The sequence below is a fragment of the Homo sapiens genome, chromosome X (genome assembly GCF_000001405.40).
Source record: "Homo sapiens chromosome X, GRCh38.p14 Primary Assembly".
NCBI classification, from domain to species: Eukaryota; Metazoa; Chordata; class Mammalia; order Primates; family Hominidae; genus Homo; species Homo sapiens.
This window is the reverse complement of record NC_000023.11, coordinates 37,407,077-37,433,394: the sequence shown is the minus strand read 5'-3', so window position 1 is coordinate 37,433,394 and position 26,318 is coordinate 37,407,077. Positions and strand designations below refer to the sequence as shown.

Sequence of the window (26,318 nt, the reverse complement as noted above, 5' to 3'; positions counted from 1 at the left end):
AGTCATGAGGCAGGTCACGTGCTGTCTGTGTATGTGAGGACGCACAAGAAAGCCACAGCAAAGTGAATAAGGGGTGGGGTGTCATAGGAGATGTGGTAAAGAAATAACTATATATCGAGTGAAGCTGTGGGGTGGAGATAGATGAGGACTGATTGTGTAGTACCTGGTGGGTGATTCTGAGCACTTTGGCCTTTACTGAGGGAGATGGGAAGCCCTTGCAAGTAAGAGAATTTAAAGGATCACTCTAACCTGCTGTTTTGAGAATCAACTATGGGGCAGGGGCCAAAAAATCATACAGATGAGAGGGTTGTGGTGGCTTGGATGTAAAGTGATAACAAGTAGAAAGGTGGCTAGATTCCGAGTATATTTTCATATTAGAACCAACTATTGCAGATGGGGTGTGGGATATGAAAAAGAGAGGAGTCAGAGATGGCAAAAAGCCTGGAGATCAGCAAACATGATGGATGGAGTTACTACTTATTGAGATCAGAGAGGATGTAGTAAGTGTAGATATTTGGGGGAAGGGGTGCAAATTTGTTTACTTTGAGAACCATATTTGATTCTAAGATAACATGTTGAGTAGGCAGTTAGCCATACAAGTCTGTAGTTCAGTTTAGCGCTCCAGGAACTACAAATATAAATTTGGAAGTTATTAGCATTTGAAGTATGAGAAGAGGAAAGATCACCAGGGGAGCAAGTGTAGGCAGAGCAGAGTTTCAAGAAATGAAGTGGTTGTTGGATGGCGATGTGTTAAGAGAGTTTTCTTTTTTCTCTTTCTTTCTGGGGCATGTAGGCTAATAAGATGAGAATGATTCTATAGGAAGGAAAAGGTGATGCCGGAAGTACAGAAAATTTCTCAAGCAATTCTCTCACAGTTGAAGGAATTTCTTCTACTTGCTTCAAAGATTGCTGACATGCAGCATCCTGTCTCTGTGGGTGGGAAATGATATATAGAAGCACTGAGATGGATAAAAGGCCAGAAATGTAGGCATTAAAAACATTGTTCACGGTCCGGGTGCAGTGGCTCACGCCTGTAATCCCAGCACTTTGGGAGGCCAAGGCGGGCGGATCATGAGGTCAGGAGATCGAGACCATCCTGGCTAACAGGGTGAAAGCCGTCTCTACTAAAAATACAAAAAATTAGCCGGGCGTGGTGGCAGGCGTCTGTAGTCCCAGCTACTTGGGAGGCTGAGGCAGGAGAATGGCGTGAACCCGGGAGGCGGAGCTTGCAGTGAGCTGAGATTGCGCCACTGCACTCCAGCCTGGGCGACAGAGCGAGACTCCATCTCAAAAAAAAAAAAACATTGTTCACCATGATGGCCAGGTGTGGTGGCTCATGCCTATAATCCTAGCACTTTGGGAGGCTGAGGTGGGTGGATTGCCTGAGCTCAGGATTTCGAGACCAGCCTGGGCAACATGGTGAGATCCCATCTCTACTAAATATATATATATATGTATATAAAGCCGGACATGGTGGCATGCACCTGTAGTCCCAGCTACTTAGGAGGCTGAGGCACAAGAATCACTTGAACCTGGGAGGCAAAGGTTGCCATGAGCCGAGATTGCACCACTTCACTCCAGCCTGGGCAACAGAGCGAGAATCTGTCTCCAAAAACAAACAACAACAACAAAAAAACATTGTTCACACTGAGAATCAATGATAAAACTTAATCAATACGAGAGTAGTAGAATATACAATTAATACATAAAATTCAAATAGCCTAGAAACCATATATCTGAAAACAGATCCAAACCTAGGATAATAAAGAACTCTCAAAGCTCAATAGTAAAATAAAATAAAACATCCCATCAGAAAGTAAGCTAATGACATGAAGAGAGATTTCACCAAAGAAGAAACATAAATAGAAAATAGGCACATAAAAAGATGTTCAATATCATGAGCCATTAAGGAAGTGCAAATTAAAATCACAAGAAGTTATCACTACACTCCTAGCAGAATGGCTAAAATAAAACACAGTAACAATACCAAGTGCTCATGAGTATGTAAAGAAACTGGATCTCTCAAACACTGTTGGTGAGACTATAAGATGGTAATTTATACAATGACAAATTAGTTTGTCAGTGTCTTAAAAAACTACACATATACCATGCAACCCAAGAATTGTACTCCCAGTGACTTATCCCACAGAAATGAAAATTTATGTCAATACAAAAACCTATGCAATGTTCATAACAGCTTTATTTGTAAAAGCCATGAACTAGAAACAACACACGTCTCTCAATAAGCAAATGGTTCAACAAACCATGGTGTATCAATACCATGGAATATTACTCATAAACAAAAATGAATGAACTATTGATATATGTAACTTGGATTAATCTCAAGAGCATTATGCTGACTCTAAAAAGCCAATATCAAAAGGTTCCACATTATATTATTCCATTTATATAACATTCTTGCAATGGCAGAATTATAGAGATGGAAACAGATTAGTGATTGCTAAGGGTTAGGGATGGTTGTGGAAGATAGTAGGTGTGACTATTAAAGGGTAGTATGAGGGAAAACTTTGTGGTAATGAAATATATCTGCTACTTGATTGCAGTGATGGTTACACAAATCTATACAAGTGATAAAATGACACAGAACTATACATACAGATTGTACCAACGTCAGTTTCCTAGTTTTGATCTTACAGTTATGTAAGATGTAACCATTGGGGGAAACTGAGTAAAGGCTGCATGGGACCTCAATGTATTATCTTTGCAATTTTTTGTGAATCTATAATTATTTCCAAATAAGATGTTAAAAAAATGCATGCATGCATGCATGAATGAATATAAGTTTTCCCTCTCCACATTACAGTATAGATATTACAATTCCGAAACCATTGTGTATTATACAACTAAGCAAATGAGTTATTAATATATTGATGTTTTTGGGTGCTGGAATTCTCATTTTGGAAGAACATCTATAAGGAATTTTTACATCTCTACAAAAGTAGAATGGCTGGAAGAGCCCTGAGGGATTGGATTGCAATTGGAGATCAGCATAATGAATTAGTTATTTCACATATATGTCTACATGCATACATGTCTATATGTTTATATGTTTACATTTCTACATATAGACATATATAGAATTTGTATGCATGTATACATATGTGTGATTTTTTTTTCCTAGCTCTATTGCTGAAAGATCCAGAAGTAACAACATTCTGGTAGCAATGAGCATATTCTAGTTCCCAGATCTCAGTTTCTAAATATTACTCCTAACTAAAAGTAACCAAATGTCCACTGACAGATCACTGTATAAAGAAAATGTGGTATATACACATGATATAGTTTGGCTGTTTCCCCACCCAAATCTTGAATTGTATATCCCAGAATTCCCACGTGCTGTGGGAGGGGCCTGGGGGAGGTAATTGAATCATGGGGGCCAGTCTTTCCTGTGCTATTCTTATGATAGTGAATAAATCTCATGAAATCTGATGGGTTTATCAGGGGTTTCCACTTTTGTTTCTTCCTCATTTTGTCTTGCTGCCACCATGTAAGAAGTGCCTTTCGCCTCCTGCCTGATTCTAAGGCCTTGCCAGCCATGTGGAACTGTAAGTCCAATTAAATCTCTTTTTCTTCCCAGTCTCAGGTATGTCAGCAGTGTAAAAACGACTAATACAATAAATTGGTACCAGTAGAGTGGGGCACTGCTGAAAAGATACCTGAAAATGTGGAAATGACTTTGGAACTGGGTAACAGGCAGAGGTTGGGACAGTTTGGAGGGCTCAGAAGAAGACAGAAAAATGTGGGAAAGTTTGGAACTTCCTAGAGACTTGCTGAATGGCTTTGACAAAAATGCTCATAGTGATATGAACAATAAGGTCCAGGCTGAGGTGGTCTCAGATGGAGAGGAGGAACTTGTTGGGAACTGGAGCAAAGGTGACTCTTGCTATGTTTTAGCAAAGAGACTGGTGGCATTTTGCCCCGCCCTAGAGATTTGTGGAACTTTGAACTTGAGAAAGATGATTTAGGGTATCTGGCGGGAGAAATTTCTAGGCAGCAAAGCATCCAAGAGGTGACTTGGGTTCTGTTAAAAGTATTCCATTTTAAAAGGAAAACAGAGCATAAAAGTTTGGAAAATTTGCAGCCTGATGATGTAGTAAAAAAGAAAAACCCATTTTCTGAGGAAAAAACTCAAGCTGGCTTCAGAAATTTGCATAACAAGGAGCCGAATGTTAATCCCCAAGACAATGAGGAAAATGTCTCCAGGGCACGTCATGGGTTTTCAAGGCAGCCCCTACCCACCCCTATCACAGATTTGGAAGTCCAGAAGGAAAAAATGGTTTCCTGGGCCAGGCCCAGGGTCCCCATGCTGTGTGCAGCCTAGGGACTTGGTGCCCTGCATCCCAGCCACTCCAGCCATTGCTAAAAGGGGCTAAGGTACAGCTTGGCCCATGGTTTCAGAGGGTGCCAGCCCCAAACTTAAGCAGCTTCCATGTGGTGTTGAGCCTGCAGGTGCACAGAAGTCAAGAACTGAGGTTTGGGAATCCCTGCCTAGATTTCAGAGGATGTGTGGAAACACCCAGATGTCCAGGAAGAAGTTTGCTGCAGGGACAGGGCTCTCATGGAGAACCTCTGCTATCGCAGTGCAGAAGAGAAATGTGGGGTCAGAGCCCCCACACAGAGTCCCTACTGGGGTACTATATAGTGGAGCTGTGAGAAGAGGGCCACCATCCTCCAGATCCCAGAATGGTAGATCCACTGAAAGCTTGCACCGTGTGCCTAGAGAAGCCATAGGCACTCAATGCCAGCCTGTGAAAGCAACCAGGAGCGAGGCTGTACCCTGCAAAGCCACAGGGGCAGAGTTGCTCAAGACCATGGGAACCCACCCCTTGCATCAGTGTGACCTGGACATGAGGCATGGAGTCAAAGGACATAATTTTGGAGTTTTAAGATTTGACTGCCTTGATGGATTTTGGATTTGCAAAGGGCCTGTATACCCTTTGTTTTGGCCAATTTCTCCCATTTGGAAGGTCTGTATTAACCCAACACCTGTACCCCCATTGTATCTAGGAAATAACTATCTTGCTTTTGATTTTATACACTCATAGGCGGAAGGGACACGCCTTGTCTCAGATTAGACTTTGGACTGTGGACTTTTGGGTTAATGCCAAAATGAGTTAAGACTCTGGGGGACTGTTGGGAAGGCATGATTCATTTTGAAATATGAGGACATGAGATTTGGAGGGGCCGGGGCAGAATGATATGGTTTGGCTGTGTCCCCACCCAAATCTCAACTTGAATTGTATCTCCCAGAATTCCCACATGTTGTGGTAGAGACCCAGGGGGAGGTAATTGAATTATGGGGGCCAGTCTTTCCCGTGCTGTTCTCATGATAGTGAATAAGTATCATGAGATGTGATGGGTTTATCGAGGGTTTCCGCTTTTGCTTCTTCCTCATTTTCTCTTGCCACCACCATGTAAGAAGTGCCTTTCACCTCCTGCCATGATTCTGAGGCCTCCCCAGCCATGCGGAACTGTAAGTCCAATTAATCCTTTTTTTCCAGTCTTGGGTATGTCTTTTATCAGCAGCATGAAAACAGACTAATACAACACACAATGAAATATTATTCAGCCTTATAAAAGAAGGAAATCCTGTAATTTGTGACAACATTAATAGACCTGGAGGACGTTATATTAAGTGAAATAAGCCAGGCATAGAAAGACAAATACCACAGGATCTCACTTATATATGGAATCTAAAAAAGGTGAACTAATAGAAGCAAAGAGGAGAATGGTGGTTGCCAGGGGCTTGGGGAGAAAGAAATGAGAAGTAGCAAACAGTATAAACTTTCAGTTATGCAAGATAAATGAATTCTGGAGATCTGCTATACAGCATGGTACCTACAGCTAACAATGTTATATTATATACTTAAATTTTGCTAAGAAGGTAGATCATATGTTAAGTCCTCTTACCATACTCACAGAACACAACTACAACAATAATAAAGGGGTGAGAGGAAACTTTAGGAGGTGATGGATATGTTTGTGGCCTTGATGGTGATGGTTGTTTCATAGGTGTATACCTATCCCCAAACTCATAGAAACGTATACATTAAATAAGTACAGCTTTTTATATGTCAAACATAACTCAATAAATTTTTTTTGTAAAAGAATATTATTCACTTGTATAAAGTACTTTTAGAACAATAAATCCCAAACAAGTTCTTACGATTTCTTTAAAGGAGAATGATAAAGTAGGGTAAAAAGCCATTAGCCTTGTGAAAACCATAGTAGAATATCTATAATTTCTATTATTTGATAAAACACAATATCAAAAACCACGTTTTGTTTATGGTTTATAGTAACTTCAGCCAGTTTTTATTAAAAACTTTATGGTGCAAAACACTATTTCTACTACAATCCTATTTTTCTTATTTATGAAGTATCTATGTAGTAAAAATAGGCCAGAATGAGATATACCAAAATTATAAAACTGGTGGTGCTAAAAACTCAAGTGATTTTATGTTACTACATTTTTAAATTTCTCTACAATGAACATATACTATTTTTAAAAAGTAAAATGAATAAAATAAAATAAAACCAACAATGACTAAGCGGATGCAAAGGGAAAAAGCTGGAAAGAAAATAAAAGGTCAACCGTGCTTTGTGATTGCATGATGGTATTATGGATGATATATTCTTTTCCCTATTTCTAACCCTGTGATTTGACTAAGATGTGGCTTCTTCCTCTTACCCCTTTCTTTAAAACTTTTGCATCTGCTGCTCTTAAGGTATATTTAGTATCTTTTTAGCATAAGTGACACCACTTGTTTAGCATCTAGGGTTATTTTCCTGCTGCCCAGGACTGAATCTTTATACAATGGCTACCTCTGGTAACAATTTCCAGCTGTGGAGCAGTTCTATAGACTTTTCACCCCTGCCTTGTGCTGTCCCATTCCTGCTCTCTTTGAATAGCATGTAGTCTAGAGTAAAGAGAAGTAAAGAGGAGTATTCTCGCGGAGTGGGAAGGTATGTCTGGATGTCTTTTCTTTTGTACGAGAAGTAAAACCTTTTAAAACACTATCACCATCCATTAGCTTCCTCCACACTTTCTCTGTAATTAGGCAAAGTGATATTATCTATAACCTTCTAGAACAAAGCTTTGTGCAAATCAAATCCTTCCTACTCGCCAAGATGATAAATCCTCGCTCAGCAGAGTCCTATAGGAACGGGGCTCTCAAAGACAGTCCAGCACAAGGGGAAGTGAACCTAGCTCTCCAACCCACAGAATATTACTAGTTAGATGCCATTTTCCGAGTTCCTAACAAAGGAATTTTTAATTGCTAGCAATGTACATAATTCAGGGATGCAGATTTCAAATATACATCAAAAAGGTAGGCAAATCTGTGCAACTTTTTAATTGCCAACATACTTACAGTTTTTTCATTATTTTCAAAAGCTTCTCTTGCTTCTTCAAATGTACAGAATTCTTCTTTGCACTCACGCTCAATGTTGCCCTGTCTTATTTCTTCAAAAAACCCATTAGCTCTTGGGTAGCGTTTTAATATGGAATTGGCTTTTTCTCCCGTGAGGAAAACTAAAAAGAAATATAAGTATAAAAAACCTATGTGGCAAGTTGATATACCAGATGAAAACTGCTAGATGCTCTTTAGAAAACATAGCCAACATCCTAAACCTCTTTCCGTGAGTCAGCAATGAAGTAACACTTAGCTCCAAACCACTGTATCTGCTATCTTCCTCATGATGTGAGTATGTCCTTTCAATAGCAGTTGCCCTGGGCAGGGACAGTGACATAATTAACTATGTTATATTCAGACTTCAGCACATTCCTGCAAACCATGGGTGTTTAAATATACTAATAATGATAGCACTACTTATACTCATTACTGTAAGTAGATACCCCAAGGCATTCTGCTGACAGACAGCAGCAGCCAAATCAAATCCAGTCTCTAGATTATCAGTCTTTGTCCCTCTACCTAAAAATAAATAACACTTCAGTTGACCTAGTAATATAAACCCAGAGAGCTCTAACTTGTATGAAAAGAATAGGTAAAAAAAAATTGTGAGAAGTTAAATTTGGCCATGATTCATTCTATGGAAATCCTAATAATAATTTTGTTCTAAATGTACTTGAGTTAAATATAGTGTGATGCTTTAACACATTCAACCTCATTTCACTGTCCTTTAGAAAAAGAAAATTCTTCTGCATGATTTACAGAGGCATTTCATATAAACATTCAAAATACATTTATGAAACCATGTAAAAAAGATGCTTTTATTTTAATAATAATAAAATATAAAAAATAAAAAATAAGATGTTTTATTTTTAAATACAAATACATTTTAAGTTCAATTTCAATTACATTTTTCTAAAAGAATGTTGCCTGTTTGGAGAGACAAATATAATGCCACCAGAATTTCATCTCCGTTAATGCAAGAGATTAGAACATTTCCTAATTTATAGAATTCTGACATAAGAAAAGGCACATTACAGATCTTTCAAGATGCTAAAAAAGTCTACATTTTCTGAAAAACATTTTGAAGGAAATGAAAAACTTTTTATGTGCTCTTTTAAAAATGACAATGACAGCCAGCAATGGATTAAAGTTTTGCTTTGTTATAGAAATGAGTATTTTACTTTATAGAATATATGGACTCATTATTTAGGATTCTTTAAAGTATCCAAATTGACACCAGCTAGATGACACTTATACCAGGGTGAAAACCATGATAGGCCTTCAATGAGTATTTCCTTCTGTACCTCATAAAGGGTTCCCTTTATGACCCTTTATGAGGTACAGAAGGAAGGAAATTCAGAGAATAGATTATGATTATGGAATATGAATTCACAGATTCATAGAATATCATTAGAACTTTAAAAAATACAAATTGTGGTTAAGTGTAATGAAGGAAAGCAAAAGGTTACTGTTAAGTTGGAGAATAACAGTAAAATTTTCTAACACTTCTTGCCTTTTAGCCGCATCAGAATCCCTGAAGGACTGATTATCACACAGACTGCTGGGCCCCACCCCAGAGTTTCTGATGCCATAGATCTGAGGTAGGGCTATAAAATTACATTTCTAACCAGTTTCCAGGAAATGCTGCTGCTGCTGCTCCCATTACCACAGTTTGAGAATCACTACCCTAATGAGAGTTCCTTGGAAACATTCTGAGTGAAGTATTTATGGAATGCTAGGGTTAACAAATTTAAAGAGATCTTTCACTGAATGACTTTTTAGGGCCCTTCATATATATTTAGTATAAACAGTCATGCATCACTTAACAATGTGGATCCATTCTGAGAAATACATTGTTAGGCTATTTCATCATTGTGCAAACAGGATGGAGTGTATTTTCACAAACCTAGATGGCATAGCCTACTAGTCACCTAGGCTATATGATATAGCCTATTGGTCCTAGGCTATAAATCTGTTCAGTTTGTTACTATACTGAATACTATAGGCAATTATAACAATGGTAAGTATTTGTATATCTAAACATTGAAAAGATACAGGAATAATATGATATAAAAGATAAAAAATGGTACTGTATAGGGCACCTACCATAAAAGGAGTTTGCAGGGCACTTATCATAAATGGAGCTTACAGGATTGAAAGTTGGCCTGAGTGAGTGGTGAGTGAATGTGAAGGCCTAGGACATTACCGTAGACTACTGTAGACTTTATCAACACTGTCGACTTAGGCTACATTAAATGTATAAAAATATATTTCTTAAAAAAAATATTTTGGCTGGGAGCAGTAACTCATGCCTGTAATCCCAGCACTTTGGGAGGCTGAGGTGGGAGGATTGCTTGAGCCCAGGAGTTCGAGACCAGCCTGGGCAACACAGTGAGACCTCATCTCAAAAAAATTAAAATTAAATTAAATTAAAAAATAAAAAATAAAATTAAATGAAAATAAAAAGAAGGAAAATGTTTCTCCTTCTTCAGTAATAAATTAACCTTGGCTTACTATAATGTTTTTACTTCATACTTTTTAATTTTTTAACTTTTTGACTCTTTAGTAATAACACAGCTTAAAATACAAACACATTGTACAGCTGTACAAAAATATTTTCTTTATATATATCCTTATTCTATAAGCCTTTTTCCTATTTAAAAATTTTATTGTATTTTTTACTTTTGAAACTTTTTTGTTAAAATTTAACTTTTTTGTTAAAAAAAGTTAATTTTTGTTAAAAATTAAAATTAATTAATTAAAAATTAAACTTTTTTGTTAAAATTTAACTTTTTTGTTAAAAATTAAGATACAAGCACACACATTAGCCTAGGCCTCCACAGGGTCAGGATCATCAATATCACTGTCTTCCACATCCACATCTTATCCCACTTGAAGGTCTTCAGGGACAATAACATGCATGGAGCTGTCATCTGCTATTATAACAATGCTTTCTTCTGTATTACCTCCAGAAGAACTCGCTTGAGGCTATTTTATAGTTAATTTTTTTTCATAAGTAGAAGGAGTTTACTCCAGAATGACAATAAATATATATACATACAATATATATAATTGTATGTACTATACTGTTATATGACTAGCAGTGCAGTAGGTTTGTTTACTCCAGTATTGCCACAAACATGTGAGTAATGTGTTAACACTGTGATGCTATGATGTCACTAGGCAATAGAAACTTTTCAGCTCCTAATCTTATGGGACCATCATTGTATATGCAGTCTGTTGTTGACTGAAACATCATTATGCATGCATGTATTTGTAAATCTGAAAAGGAACATGATACATGCATTTGTGATATTTGACTATAGTACCCTTTTTCAAGAGATATTTTACTGATTTAACAACTTCCTAGCCATTAGTCTTATTTATACCCTCTGAATTAACGCATAAGTCTCCTCCATATAACAGGCCAACTAATACATGAAGAAAGACAGTAAATGGTTTCCCGTGGGACTTCTCCTTTCCAGAATAAACATGTCTTGCTTCTTCATCTGTTTGCCATAGAAAATGGATTTGAGTCTGCATCATCTTCCTCTCAAAATACAGTGACCTATGCTGAGCGCAATACTTTGTGTTTGGTCTGACAAGTGCAAAACTGGTCAGGATTATTGGCTTCCTTGTTTTAAAGACAATATATATGTTAATGTGGTCTAAGATATCCCTGGGTTTCGAATCAGTTTTTCTGAAGATAAATCAATCAACATTAATGTATTTTGAACTTTTAAGAGAAAAAAGCTAAATGCTTCTAAGAGATAATTACTTTCTTATATGCTATCCAACTCAAAAAGGTGAGTCAAAGCAAGCCACTGACTCCAGTAACCAGAAAGCAGTCTAATTTAGAAGAATAAGCAAATGGAAGGTAATACAGCAGGACACAAAGCTTCTAATCCAAGTCTAATCAAATTACCAAGCATTCCATGATCATATTCTATGTATTTCTTGTACTGGGCGGCAAGGTAATATAATACTAAGAACTCTACATGGATTCAGCTGGCAAGTAGATTTTATCTCACTTGCCAAATCCAGTCCATTAGAAGATATCACTTAAAGTAAGAATCTGACCTGTAGGAAAGATACTATTATAGATTAGTTATGTCTGCCATTTATTAGGGAACAGGAAGTAGTGGCAGAGAATTTGCCAGTGCTCATCAAAGTATTTGGAAACCTAATGGACCCTAAATGATGATACCAGAACTAGATTATTTTCTTTTTTGCCCATGACACAGCCCTCAGGAGATCCTGAGAACATGTGCCCCTAAAATTAGAATTTTTTAAAATGCGAAAACAAAATAAGGGAGAAGGTGGCAGCTTTGATCTATAGGATGAAATCAGATTATCTCCTCTAAAAACATGGGGCAATTTCCAGGCTGCAAGGGCTTGCGTTAGGATGTTTAACTAAAGCCATGATGTTTGAAACTAAAGTCCATCACTTCCTTAAATTGAGTGATCACTTCCTTAATTGCCTCTTTCTCCTTAAATTGTGTGAGTTAAATTACAGCTATCAGGAATCATGTGCATGCCTTAATCAAGGATTATATGATGTGACAAGTATACAGAATGTAAATGTGCCTTGAGAACACAATACTGAGGTGTTATTTAAAACATGCAGTTTTCCCATTAAAGGAAATAAAGAAAAACCTAAACCTTTTTTCTTCAGATTCGGTTAGGAAATACTCTTATTAAATTGAATATTTCAAACCTAAGGCATATTTACACATACACAGACACAAAATAAGTATATTATTCAAAAAAATGTAACCACTTTTTCATAATTTCAAAATAAATAAGCTCTCATCCATGCTTTCTCTTCAAAAGAAAATAATAAAAATAAATAAAATAAGTGGATGCAACAAGTCACAAAGATGGGTAGCAGATGACCTCTGCCCTCAAGGTTCTTCAGTGCAAGAGGTAACAAAGATATAATAAAAGAGATACACAAAGAGCTCTATTGTAAGACTGAACATGACGGATGTTCTTCAAGGTCAGAAGGCAGGCATATTTCTGGTGGGTGTGTGAGTTTGTGGTTTGGATGCCTTAGTTTATTTATTTATTTATTTATTTACTTATTTATTCACTTCTGAGACAGAGTTTCGCTCTGTAGCCCAGGCTAGAGTGCAGTGATGTGATCTTGGCTCACTGCAACCTCTGCCTCCTGGGCTAAAGCGACCCTTCCACCTTAGTCTCCTGAGTAGCTGGGACTACAGGTGTGTGCCACCACACTTGACTTCTCTTTTTTCTTTTTTCTTTCTTTTCTTTTTTTTTTTTTTTTTTTGCATAGACGGGGTTTTTCCATGTTGCCCAGGCTGGTCTCAAACTCTGGGCTCAAGCCATCTTCCCACCTTGGCCTCCCAAAGTGCTGGGATTACAGGCATGAACCATAGCACCTGGCCATAGGTGCCCTATTTTTGATATAAGACTATACACCAGAAACAGTAGCAAACAGTAGCAAGAACATCAAGAACAGAGAATGAGGACTTTCTACAAATGAACCTAGCATTCCATAGCTCTTCTTCAATTCAAGAGTCAGGGCCTCTCCTCTAGACCTATTGTGCAACCCTGGAGTTATTGGATTTCTTGTGGGAACAAGGTTAGTCAGAAAAGGAATAAAGACATTATGGCATTGATGGGGGGAGCCTTGTGGTTGTTTTGAGTAATCAATTTAATCTTATGGATATCCCAAGCTTGTTAGTGTGCACTAGTTAGAAAGAAAAAGGGTTGTCAGAACAAATAGCCATGTGAAGAAAACAAAAACCTAAGCGTCACTTATTCATCTATAAAACTGAAAAAATAACACCAATCTCAAGTTATAAGTTATAAATGAGTGCTTTGCTCAGGGCTTGACAAAAAAACAGATTTACAATAAGTAGTAGTGTGACTCACTGTCATTACCATTGTGGCAGTTATTCTGTGAAATAAAAAAAATGATATTTATCAAGCTGATAATAAAAATACACTTAGGAAATATAGAATAAATAGGATTAACTTGCCGTGAGTCTGTCTCCTTAACTTCAGGAATGCCTGGGAGTTTGGTCTCCTTGGTCAAGTCTGGGATGACATGTAGTAGCTTTATGAAGTGCTATTTAATGTCTCAAATTCGCTTGGAGGCACACTGTAGTAGCTTGTCCTGAACTGTTTTTGGAAAACATATAGGCTGATTGCACCTGACTAATTGATTACATAGTCTAGTTTCAGCTACATGACCAGTGGGATATCAAAGATCTTCTGTACACATGAGCCTTAGCTCCCGATACCAAGGTTATCTTGCACATAATCTTGGTGGTTCACAATTAGAAGACAAATGTGTCCTGTGCAACTAAAAATGGCCTTGTGAGTGATCTCTCTCCTGCTGTACCATACCTTGAGCCATTATTAAAGCCTTATGAGAATATACCCCGTAGAATCTTATAAGTCTTTTCAATTAACCAATGCTGTATAGTTGCTACAATATACTTTTATGATTCATAAATATTTTGGGGATATCATGAGATTTTAAAATTTCAGAACTTCTTCTCAAGAAATGGTCCAGAAATGGTCCTTATTATAAGGACTTGATACTTATAACAAACTTGTGAGGAAATACCCTTTGCCATAATGTATATGCTTGCTTTTATTAACTTCAACTTTGGTCAAATATATGTTGATAGCTTATCATCACTGGAATTTTAACAACAGACCACAAATAAGCTCTTAGAAAGGATAGATTATGAAAGAAAAGTTACATACATGACAGATATGTATGTTTAGATAATCACAAGTAACTATAACAAAATATGCTTTATTGAACTTTAGGTTGATAGTTTGGGTGGCTATTCAATGTTTTACATAATCACTACAGATATGAATGACAGTAATACCTCGTTTATGCAGAAATGCAAAAGTTGCTCAAATAAACCCATTCTCATTCTCATGAACTTAGACACAAGAGATGACCAAGGTCATACATTACAACTCACTTGATGCTTTATCTACAGGGGAACCTCAACTTCTTACACTAACCAAAGGTCAGTTTCCTCTATCCATGTGCAGGAGCCTGGCTCCTGAGACTTCAAAGCCTCATTGCACATGAAAACTAGAAAGCAAAAGGGGCAGGGTGGGCTGAACTAGATCAACATACTGAAAGCCAACAGAAGTGAAAGCTAATTAATCTGAAGGCAAGGGAAAAGAGAGTCAGAAGGCTCTTTGGGGGTTATTTAGAGTAGGATCTAAACTCCATCACACTGACAGCTCTCAAGGCTATAGACATCAATGATTATGTTTACAATGGTGAATGTGAGTTACCAATAAAGGGCTATATGATGTTCAGGATGATGTTCAAGAAGGCAGTAAATTATATAATCTAATTTAGAGCTATTTCTATAAAAATATGGTTTTTAAAAATCTTTTAAATCATGTTTAAAAAGGTAAGCATCCTCAATCTGCAAAATATATTTGCTCAAATTGAAAATTTTTTCCCAGTATTGTATAAATGTTGCTGTACCACAGACTGAATCTACAGAGTCCACAAATTAACAAGGAAGCCGATTTCTTTTCTGAATAAATCTCTAGTAATCCAGCTTAATTGTAAATTTCTCATACAAGACTATAGAACATGCAAAGCTCTCTGCTTATTCGAGCCTTCTGTTTGTCACATGAAAGCTGCCTTTTGAGATATGTTGTTGAAGTCTAAGAGAGCCAATATCTATTAACCATTTTCACCAACCCTGCATTGAGGCAAGTGAAACTATAGGATAAGGAAAAAGTGTGGTATGGTAAAAAGGCCCTGAATTTGTAGTCGGGATATATGGATTCCTGTTGCAGCTCTGGCAGTAAACTGGCTACCTGATCCTACATTTGTTGCTTAATTTATCTGAACGTGTTTCCTAATTGATGAAGCAAAGGTGTTGGATATGATTTCTTAAGTACTTTCAGTTGTAACCATAAAGAGTTCTATAATTGGAAAGAATTTCAGGAAGTGGGAGTAGTGTATTGGATCCGAATCCTTTTGGGATATTAATACACAATTTTCCAGCCAAGCAATCACCATATCCCAAACCAATAATAAACAAACAAACAGAGAAAATCAAAAAAGCACCCATTCCACCCAATCCTGTGCTTAGCTTTATTTTTTAAACATCTTATGAAGTGTCAAACTCATAATTCTTTGTTTTCTCGCTTGTAAGTCATTTTGATACTATTATTCAGTTGTGTCTGCATATAATGCCTTCAAACTTTTTTTTTCTGCTGAAATAGGTGTTAAATAGGTACTTCTTATCACAGACTGATGGAAACAACTTTTCCTAGGAAATCAAAGTCTTATACTCTGAAGTGACATTTCACTTACTAAAAAACAAAATTAAGCAAACTAAAAAGACACTATTTAAATCATCCTCCTATTTTTACTTAGGAAGGTGGAAATATGTACAATGTCCCAATTTATTTCACCATTGTTAAACTATTTCTGAAAATTAAAAGTTAACTTTTCATAGCTGATATGTTTATAATAATTCAGAATTTATTGTATGGTGGTACTCATGTGCCCAACCAGTTTTTGCAAACTTAGAGTTTAGTATAGCATATAGTATATGTTTACACAGGAATGAGGGAACTGAAACCCATTAAAAAGCTCATATATTTAAAAAATAATTGGAAGTTGCAGGATTGAGCTAGTGGGAGTGGGAAGTCTAAGAGACTGAGAAAAAAATAATGATTATTAATATATTTAATACCTGAAATCTGCCCCCTAAGGACCATACAGTAGTTATGATCATTACCTAAAACTTAAACAAATCTGTAGTACCAGAGGCATACAATGAAATACCAGATAACAGGTAGGTTTCCTGGAAAAAGTGTGGATAATATGCCAGAAATGGATTTCTATGAGAGATGACAAAAGAGGTAAAGTGTGTCTATAAAGTCAGTATTCTTTAAAAATAAAACAAACATGGTTCCCACCAGAGTGACACTAACTATCTCAATATGGTATACTTAAAAGCCAAATTTCAGAGAATACATTCAGATGTCTCTCATCTAATGATTTTATGCTTTGTAAGGAAAAAGGACATAGAGAGAAATGGCGCAATATATTCTCCCACAGAGGAAGGCAAAAGGCAAAGTTTTCTTTAAAGGGGTTTTAAACTTTATAACTACTTCTTATCAAAAAGAATTCGTCATGAAATGGCAGATTACACCAATCAAATTAATAGCAATTATGTAAACTGATTTAAAGGTATGGTATTCTAATACATATTTCTGAACCAAGAGCAATGCCTTGCTCCCAAGAAACAAACAAATATGGAATTATTAGTGTAATTTGTCATGACTAAGCACACAATCAGATGGAATCACCAAAACAGGAGAACTCCAAAGATAGCTAGTTCTACTCTTACTGGTGCCTCAATTGTACCAGCAGCAATATCAGTAGTCTTGATGTTTGCGGTTGTTACAACCGTATGATTTCCTTTCTAGTTTATGGACCCTATCTATACTGATTACATTCTATCTCATATAGAAGACTATGGTAATAGCTGTGACTAATAATCACCATTTAATAGAAAATAAAGACAGGTAGATAAAACTCACAAGATGAAATATAGCTTATAATGCATAATTTTATATTGCAATGATTGCTTTACAACTCATCAGCATAGACTGTAGGATAGGTATTCTATGTGATAGTTGTAATCTAGACTCTAGAAGTGGATAACTGTCCTAGTAGGACACATGTTACATTTAACGAAACAGCCACATTTCTAAGGTAGCTACTACAAACGCATTTGGCTATCTTTCTCTCCAGCCCACAATAGAGCATGATGGATTTAAGAAATGGAGTTTCATTGAGGAGTTTAGTGCTATTGTTAGTAAGCACTAACATGAATTTCACAAATGACTTTTCACTGGTGAAAGACATGTTTTTATGTGAATTTGCTCCAGAAATGACAGCAGCAGTCAAGGGTGTGCCTGAACACAGTAGAAAAATCTAAAGCCTCTGCAGTTTGTACCCTTAGGAATGGTGGCCAAGACTTGATTCCTGAAAGGCCTCATGTTTACCTGCTGATATGAAGGATTCTTGATTGCTTTAATCTAACTAGATGGGTTAGCTGAATACCATTGCTAGAATGCTGTCACATATGCCTTAGATGAACTTTTTATCTAAGATATTGTGGGAGATCCTAAATAAGGAAAGAAATAGGATTTCATAGAGTTTATATAATAAGTTATATGGCAGAACTGTGCCATCTTGTTGATAAATGTCCGTGTATAGCAAAATTCGGCCTAAGACTTAGTTGTAACCTGGTAGTCAAATTGTGGGGAGCCTAGACCTCACATGCCTTTAACTATTGGCAGCTACTGACATTTGCCAAAAAGAATGTAGCAATTGTAAAAGCCAAATTGATTTTGATTATATTCAATAAACTCTTCCTATTGATTCTACATGTACATCAATCCCAAAGGAGGTGGTGGGCTGATGTGTAGAATTCTGGAATCTCATTTGTTTCCAAAGTGGACTGTTAACCACCCATGAAATCAGCACATTTTTATTTATTTTATTTTTTTGAGACAGAGTCTCACTCCATCACCTAGGCTGGAGTGCAGGGGTATGATCTCGGCTCACTGCAACCTCTGCCTCCCAGGTTCAAGCCATTCTCCTGCTTAAGCCTCCTGAGCAGCTGGTACTACAGGGTGCACCACCGTGCGCGGGTAATTTTTGTATTTTTAGTACAGACGGGGCTTCGCCATGTTGGTCAGGCTGGTCTCGAACTCCTGGCCTCAAGTGATCCACTCGCCTCAGCCTGCCAAAGTGCTGGGATTACAGGCGTGAGCCACCGCGTCTGGCTGCGACACATTTTTAATTAATTCATTTATACATATACGATCTAGATGCTTTAAGAAGCCTCTGAACTCAAGGGTTCCCTATGCATACTGCATTTATATTGGTTGAAGTACATGAAATTACAGTTTTTGAAGGCCATTTCATATGGTTCAACGTAATATGTTAAGTGTAGGTTCCTATGGTTCAACCTAATACATAGGCCACATTGGAACAAGAATTATATACTTCAAATCCATGAAATAGAGAGTGAATGATTTGTCACCATCAGAGAAGCACATAACATTAGCTATTCCACTAGTTCCTCTATCACTTTCTTTCCTATCTGTTCACACATTAATACAGCCTCAAAAGGTGGATGGTAATTAATGTTCATGAGTCGCAGATTTTCAGAACTGAAAGAGATCTTTGAGAGTCATTGAATCTGGTAGCTTTCTAAATTTTATTAGTCATAGGATCCTCTGCAAATCAACCTATCATGAAATAAAAACAGATAAAATACAATGTAGTACAGTTGTTCTGTCTGAAGGAGAGGTGTTATGTACCAGGGGCACTTCCTTTTCCTCTCTTCCCTCATGGTGGCCCCTCAGGGGCCCCTTTAGAAGATCTGTGGCTTCACCGAACACATTGGAAACCACTGATCCATCTTAACCCCTTCATTTTGCTGACCAGAACACTACACTGAAATCTATAGGTTAAGTGACTTACCCAAAGCCACAGCTACTTGATGATAGGACTAGGACTGTACCTTGGTCTCCAGAATCATACTCTGCTCTCCTTTAGACTCAACTTACTTCTATAAAAAACACCATTATATCGAGAGAATGAAAAGACAAACCACCGAGTGGGAGAAAACATTTGAAAAAGGTACATCTGGTAAAAGATTGCTATCCAAAATGTATAAAGAACTCTTAAAACAGTAAGAAAACAAGCATATAAAAATGGGCCAAAGATCTTAACAAACACCTCACCAAAAAAGATACATGGATGGCAAATAAACATATGAAAATATGCTCCACAGCATTTGGTCATGTGTCGCTTAACGGCAGGATGCATCATGAGAAATGCATCGTTAGGTGATTTTGTTGTTACGCAAACATCATGGAGTATACTTACACAAGCCTAGATGGCATAACCTACTATACACCTAGGCTATATGGTATAGTCTCATTGCTCCTAGGCTACAAAACTGTATGGCATGTGACTGTACTGAATACTATAAGCAACTTACTGAATACAGTGAATACTGTAAGTAACATAATGTAAGTATTTGTGTATCTAAACATATCTAAACATAGGATAGTTACCGTAAAAATACGGTATATAATCTTATGGGACCACCTTCATATATGTGGTCTGTCATTGAAGAAAACATCATTATGCAGCTCATGGCTATATGTCATCAGGGAATTGCAAGTTAAAACAAGAAGATACCACTACACACCTATTTAACTGGCCAAAATCTAGAACACTGACAACATCAAATGCTGGCAAGGACATGGAGCAATAGAAACTCTCTTTCATTGCTGGTGGGAATGTAAAATAGTAAAGCCACTTAGAAGACGGTTTCATGGTTTCTTACAAAACTAAACATACTCTTACCATATGATACAGCAATGGTACTCCTTGATATTTACCCCCAAACAGTTGAGAATTTACAAGCATCAAATCATGGAAAGACATGAAAGAATCCTAAATGCATAATACTAAGTGAAAGAAGCCAATCTGAGAAGGCTTCTTTCTCTTCAATCTGAGAAGGCAAAATCACAGAGATAATAAAAAGATCAGTGATTGCCAGGGGTGGAGAGGGAGTGGGCAGGAGGCATGAATAGGTGGCACACAGAGGATTTTTTTTTAGGGCAGTGAAACTACTCTGTATAATACTATAATGGTGGGTACATGTCATTCTTTACGCATTTACCCAAACTCATAGAATATACAACAACAAGAGTGAACCCTAATGTAAATTATGGACTTTGGGTGATAATGACATGTCAATGTAATCTCATTGATTGTAACAAATGTACCTCTCTGGTAAGGGATGTTGATAATGGGAAGGGATTAAGTGACTGCTTAATGGGAATAGGATCTCCTTTGGAAGTGATGAAAATGTTTTATAACTGGAAGGTTGCACAGCAACCTTTAGTACATTTTGTAACTATTTTCCTTACAGCACAGCAACCTTCTGGTTACAAAATGTACTAAATGCCACTGAATTATACACTTTAAAACAGTCAAGTCTATGTTATATAAATTTTGCCTCCATTAAAAAAAATCAATAGTGCTAAAGTTGAGAAACCTTTCTAAAATTATGTGCCAAAGGTTATTTTCTTCTTTAATAAGTAAATGGCAGAGAGGATTGCATCAAAGACAAAAAGCATCAAGCACTATAATGAGTTTTTTAAAAGTAACCTCTCCGTTAGTTCTTTTTTTTTTTCTGGTGAGAAAAACTTGCCAAGAAAAAATTATGGCAGTTGTCAGCTACAAGCAAATTCGTATTACTGTTATAAAATTCTGAAGATAAGAATTTATAATAAATTATTGACATCATCTAAACTAAAGAGGCCTGAATATGTCACAATAAAGAGACTCTCAAATCTAATATAGGCCAGAAAAATGAAATAATTAATTGACTTTAAATGGATAACTTCACTTGAACCATAAAGCCAAATAAAATTAGGCACTTCATTATAAGACAGTTACTTTACAGGGCTTGTCAGTTTGAAGGTTCATTCCCTATTTGACAATATAGAGCTGTACACTCAGTTAAAGTTTAGAATTGGCTTCAACTTAACAATAGTTCAGCAGTGAATTAAAGAACTTATGTATTTACTGTGGTGGCTGTAAACCATCTTGCCTTCCACTAAGTCTTGACAACTAGGGGGATATGTTTGAGTTCCTTGGGATAAAGGAGCCCAGCACATGCAAGGACCCAGAGGAATTATGCTGCTATGTTTTAATAAGAAACAAAGACTAACTGGCAACACTACCACTGTTTTGCTATAGCACGACCATAAAAATTCATTTATGCTAAGACATTAAGGTCATGTTACTATTAAGTACAGAAAATGAAAATGGAAACTGACTTTTCATATTAAGATTTTATAGACCTAAGATTTTCTTCTAAGCTAGGTAGGTAAGACCTATTTCCAAAGACTAAATACTGGAAGAGGAGAAACAGAAAAAAAAAATCCTAAGTTATCTTCATATTTTAATTCAGATTATCCTCCACAAAGTAGACCTGCCTGATTGCAATCATTAAGCTATTCCAGATATTGCTTTGTATATAACAAAGCAAAATTAATCCTTTTGAAAATTCATGGCTAAGTATTATTCCTATTTTGTGGAAGATGTGTACGAGCAGCTAGCTCATGATTTGCTATTATCAAGACAACATGATGAACTTCTCCCAGAAGCTCTGCTTTTAAGGTAGACAGTGAAAATAGCCATTAATAACTTCATATGAGGCTAGCAGATACCACAAACTACAGCACTTAGAAGATTCAGTAATAGAAATGTGTTCTGAGATAGAAAAAAATTCAGATGGAAAGTAGCTATATTTTTAAAAATCAAATTCTACCGAAACACTGTAATAAAAACAATAATCACAAAATTTTTAAAGCAAGAAAACTGAAAAATATTCATTGTAGGTAAAGATAATACTTACTGGGAGTACTGGGCCTTTTACCATTTTATCATGAATATGCCAGTTGGTCAGATGAGAAATGAAAAGGTAAAATATAGTTCTAATTACCATTTGAAGATGATTAAAGATAAATATCCTAGAACAGTCATCTGGTATCCACTGGGGATTGGTTCCAGGACTTCCACAGATACCAAAATGCTCAAGTCCCTTATATAAAATGGCATAGTAGTTGCATATAACCTATGCATATCCTTCTGTATACTGTAAATCATCTCTAGATTACTTATAAAACCTAATACAATGTAAATGCTATGTTTACATACTGTATTTTTATTTGCACTTTATTGTTGTATTCTTATTTTTTTGTTTTTTTCTCAAATAACTTCGATCCATGGTTGGTTGAATCTACAGATGTGGAACCTACAGATATGGAAGGCTGATTATATTATAATGCTATGTGAGTCTATACATACACATTTGTAAAATCCTCACATTCTCTTTGTAAAAATGTTCTCTACTAGAATTTTACATATAATTTTATTTATACCTGCTGTTCATTTTTGAACCAGTATCTCATCTTGTCATCTCATGCTATTCTGGTGTTCCATGATGCATTATATTCCTTGTGTCAACAAAAGCAACAAAGATAAAAACTCATCAGTCAAACGGGTGAGTTTCACATAGGCCAGGTAAGCGGCATCAGGCCCTTTACTTTAGGCACCTTCCCTTGTGGACTGTGTAGCACGAGCTTCTGAACTGAGTTGTTTTGTTATCTACTATGGTCACTGCCAATCAGTGTAGCTGCCTTTTGAATTACCACAGACATAGACCACTGCTGCTCAGAGGATTTTAATATTTGAGGCACTCCACCATCTGATACACATGTATTTTAGCTGTTACCCTAAAGGTTGATGAACAATGAGCCATTTCCCTTCGCCTATCTGTCCAGTCCCTCATGATAATATGAACATTGCAGATATCAAAAAATAATTTCTTCCATACCTCTCACAGCAACAGAGAGCTCCTAAGTTTTTAATTGACTTACACACTACTGATGATTAAGATATGCAGAACATGGTTTATTGGAAGAAAAAAAACTGGATGTAACATAAGACCTAGATTTGCATTTTGGCTCTCCATTAGTAGTCTGTGGATTACAGATAAGACTTTTTCTTATGAGCCTCAGTTTTATAATACATAAAATGAGGATAATAATCCCTATTTACAACATAGGGTTGTCTTACAACTCAAGATAATGTAGAGGGAATACCTATGAGTTATAAAGTGCTCTACAGAAATGTGTTAATCTCAGAATAATTATAGATTCTTAAGAGTCCTAAATACTAAGCCCTGTTTAAGAATTCATACATAGTGAATGGGATTTCAGTGCCACACACAATGGACACTGGTAGTAGTAGACTAATAAAAAATTAAATATACAAGGCTGTTCTCATCTTCCCCACCTTAATATTTAAATTTTGTTTATAATCCTTCATGTCACATAAACGAATGATTCTTCTAACACATATGTACAAATAACTTCTTCATCTAATATCAAAGAATGCTAAAAGAAATTCACCTCAGTTTTAATTTCTCACCTAAACTGTACAGTTATCCAAGTGTGTTTTTTGTTTTCATGCATCCTTAATTTATGTTATGAGGCTAGTGTCATATCTTTGCAATATTTTTCCTCTGTGTCCCTCTGTATGATACACTGGGCTACGTTTGTGAGAATCTTTGCCAAGTGCAGGAAAAATTTCATTGTACAGTGCCAGAAAAGAGAAAAATGAGCATACAGTAGCATCTTTTTCTCCCCAATAACAGTGTCAGCAATTAACAAATGTAATCAGGCAAACTAAGCAAAGCTTAGAGAGTAAAGGATAGAGTCTCTTTGAGATTCAGGATATTACAAATACTTTCAAAGTGGTCAACACAGTGAAAATGCTATCACAAGCTTCTGTATTTGTAAAAGCAGCATTCTTTGAAGCACTTCCCTTATCTCATCACCAGCCTGGAAACATGCCTATCTTTGCAGATTACATTACCATGCCCTGTTCTTTAGCAAGAACTACAGTTGACTCTTGAACAACACATATTTGAACTGCACGGGTTAATTTCTATGCAAATTTTCTGCAGTCTCTGCCACTCCTAAGACAGCAAGACCAATTCCTCTTCTTCCTCCACTGATTCAACGTGAAGATGACAAAAATTAAGACCTTTATGATGATCTACTTCCACTTACTAGTAAATACATTTTCTTTTTCTTATGATTTTCTTAATATTTTCTATTCTCTAGTGTATTTTATTACAAGAATACTGTATGTAATACACATAGCATATAAAGTATGTGTTAATCAATTGTTTATATTATTGGTAAGGCTTTCAGTCAACAGTAGGCTATTAGTAGTTAAGTTTTGGGGGCATCAAAAATTATACATGGATTTTTGATTATGCAACAGAGTCATCCCTAGCCCCCACATTGTTCAAAGGTCAACTACTAATTGCCTGACCATTTGAACAAAAAGTTGCTGAGACATCTTCTAAACTAAGCACCTAACAGTCCCTTTGCTAGTGACCTGATGAGCAGTCTAAAAATGAATAGAGGAAATGAGAAAGAACGGGTTTCGTCTCAGTGCAGCTCTCTCCTCTATATGGCTATAGCAGTATCCAACAACCAGAACATTCTCCAAATCCACTTGAAGCTTTTGGGATTGGGTGAGGATCAAACATGATGTTCTAATGTTATAGGAGTTACTAAGAAATTATTTTAGGCAATAGATAGGAAAGGGGGTCCTTGGGAAGTTTTTGTTTCTTTTAAAGCTGCTCCAGAAACGTTTCTTGTCTAGCGGGAAAGCCCAGGCTCTTAAAGTTGGGCCGGCAAGCTTTGATATGCAAATACCTGCCACTGGAAACTGGGTCCACACAAACGTGGCGATTCCCACCATCTTCTTCCCCTTGCCCCAACATGTTCCTGGCAACATGGCCACCCCCACATATCCCCCACATGTGTAGAACATCATGGGGATACATTTGCACATTAAAACGCTAGGGTGGGAGGGCCAGTTTTCTCGCAGGCTATGTCAACGACATACCTGGTCAAACCAATCCCCTGAGCCCTATGCAAATCAGACACTGCCTCCTCCAGCCTCCTCATATAACTGGCTGTTTTCCACCACATTCGAGGTTTCCTCTCTCAGCTGTAGGAGGGAGCTTCTTCCTTCTTTCTAGTCTATTAAACTCTCCACTACTTAAAACCACTCCACGTGTATCTGTGTCGTTTTATCTAACTCGACATGAGACTAAGGACCCTGGAGTTCCCCCAGTCATTGGAGCCGTATCACTACTCTAGAAGCTTCCATTGAGAGCTGATTTGCGGGCAGGACGTGGCACAGATTAGTCCCAGAATTCCGAATAGTTTTTAAAAAGTTCATTTAGTTTTAAAATTTCGAAACCATCAGAGATTGCCATCTTTTGTGAAGATCTGGAAAGAACCAGAATAGCTAGGCCTAATCAATTTCCAAGGGCAGCTCTGGAGAAAACAGGAACAAAAGCTGATTCAGCAAGATTCAAGAAGATATTTTCCATGATTGATCCATAATCCTTAGGGCTTCCTACCAGGGCCCACACAAGGGTGGGGCAAGCAAAGTGCAACAAAAGAATTCTCAGTTGCTTGCATGACCCAAGTCCCAGTCATGCTGCCTACAGAAGCATCTGGTCAAATAACCTCATTTTTATCCATTAAAAAAACAATGAAGATATAGTTAGTAAGGACAGTAATGGGCAGATACCACTGCTGTATTCCATTACACTTTAGAACTCTCAAAACACTTTTACATGTATTATCACATTATGCCAACGACAACTTTCTGAGGCTAGAAGTGCAGAATGTATTAATCCCACCTCAGGGATGAACAAACGAGTTTAGGGAGGTTCTAGGATTTGATCAAGGTAGTAGAGGTGGAACTTGAATTCAGGCCTTCTGTATCCAGTATTCTTCTCACTGTACTATACCACACCACACACCAAATCTTCCTCTGAGATCCTTCAAGGCATTCTAATTTTATAATTGTGAAAATTAATAAAATGTAAAAGCTGTTGGGACCCCCCAAAACACTTTAAGCCTTGGGAGACATGTGACTGTGGTTTCAGTCACATAACATTTTGCAGTTCTGTTTCTTAGGTTATAGTTTAACACTCTTCCTCATTGCTATTGTTTTGTAAATGAATAGCAAAGACCAGAGGCCAGACCTCCCCCTTTCAGTCACTGATCTTTGCTACTCTATTATCCTGTACCTAACTCAGACCAGATGGTGCCCCAAACAGAGACCCCATGACAATCACATCTTCAGTGTGGAATGTTAAATATACCTTTCCTGAAAGAAAAGGACCACCCGGATCAATCAGGTCATTG

General features: G+C 36.9%; 1 protein-coding gene across 5 annotated transcripts in view; it reads right to left on the bottom strand.

The window, feature by feature from the left end:
- Window positions 1-26,318, bottom strand: part of PRRG1 (proline rich and Gla domain 1) — a 107,928-nt gene that overhangs the window by 23,897 nt on the left and 57,713 nt on the right. For all 5 annotated transcript variants that reach the window (NM_001173489.2, NM_001173490.2, NM_000950.3 and 2 more), the window contains one exon: window positions 7,395-7,555. In NM_001173489.2, the coding sequence (NP_001166960.1) occupies window positions 7,395-7,555 (161 nt within the window). The remainder of the gene's footprint in view (window positions 1-7,394; window positions 7,556-26,318) is intronic.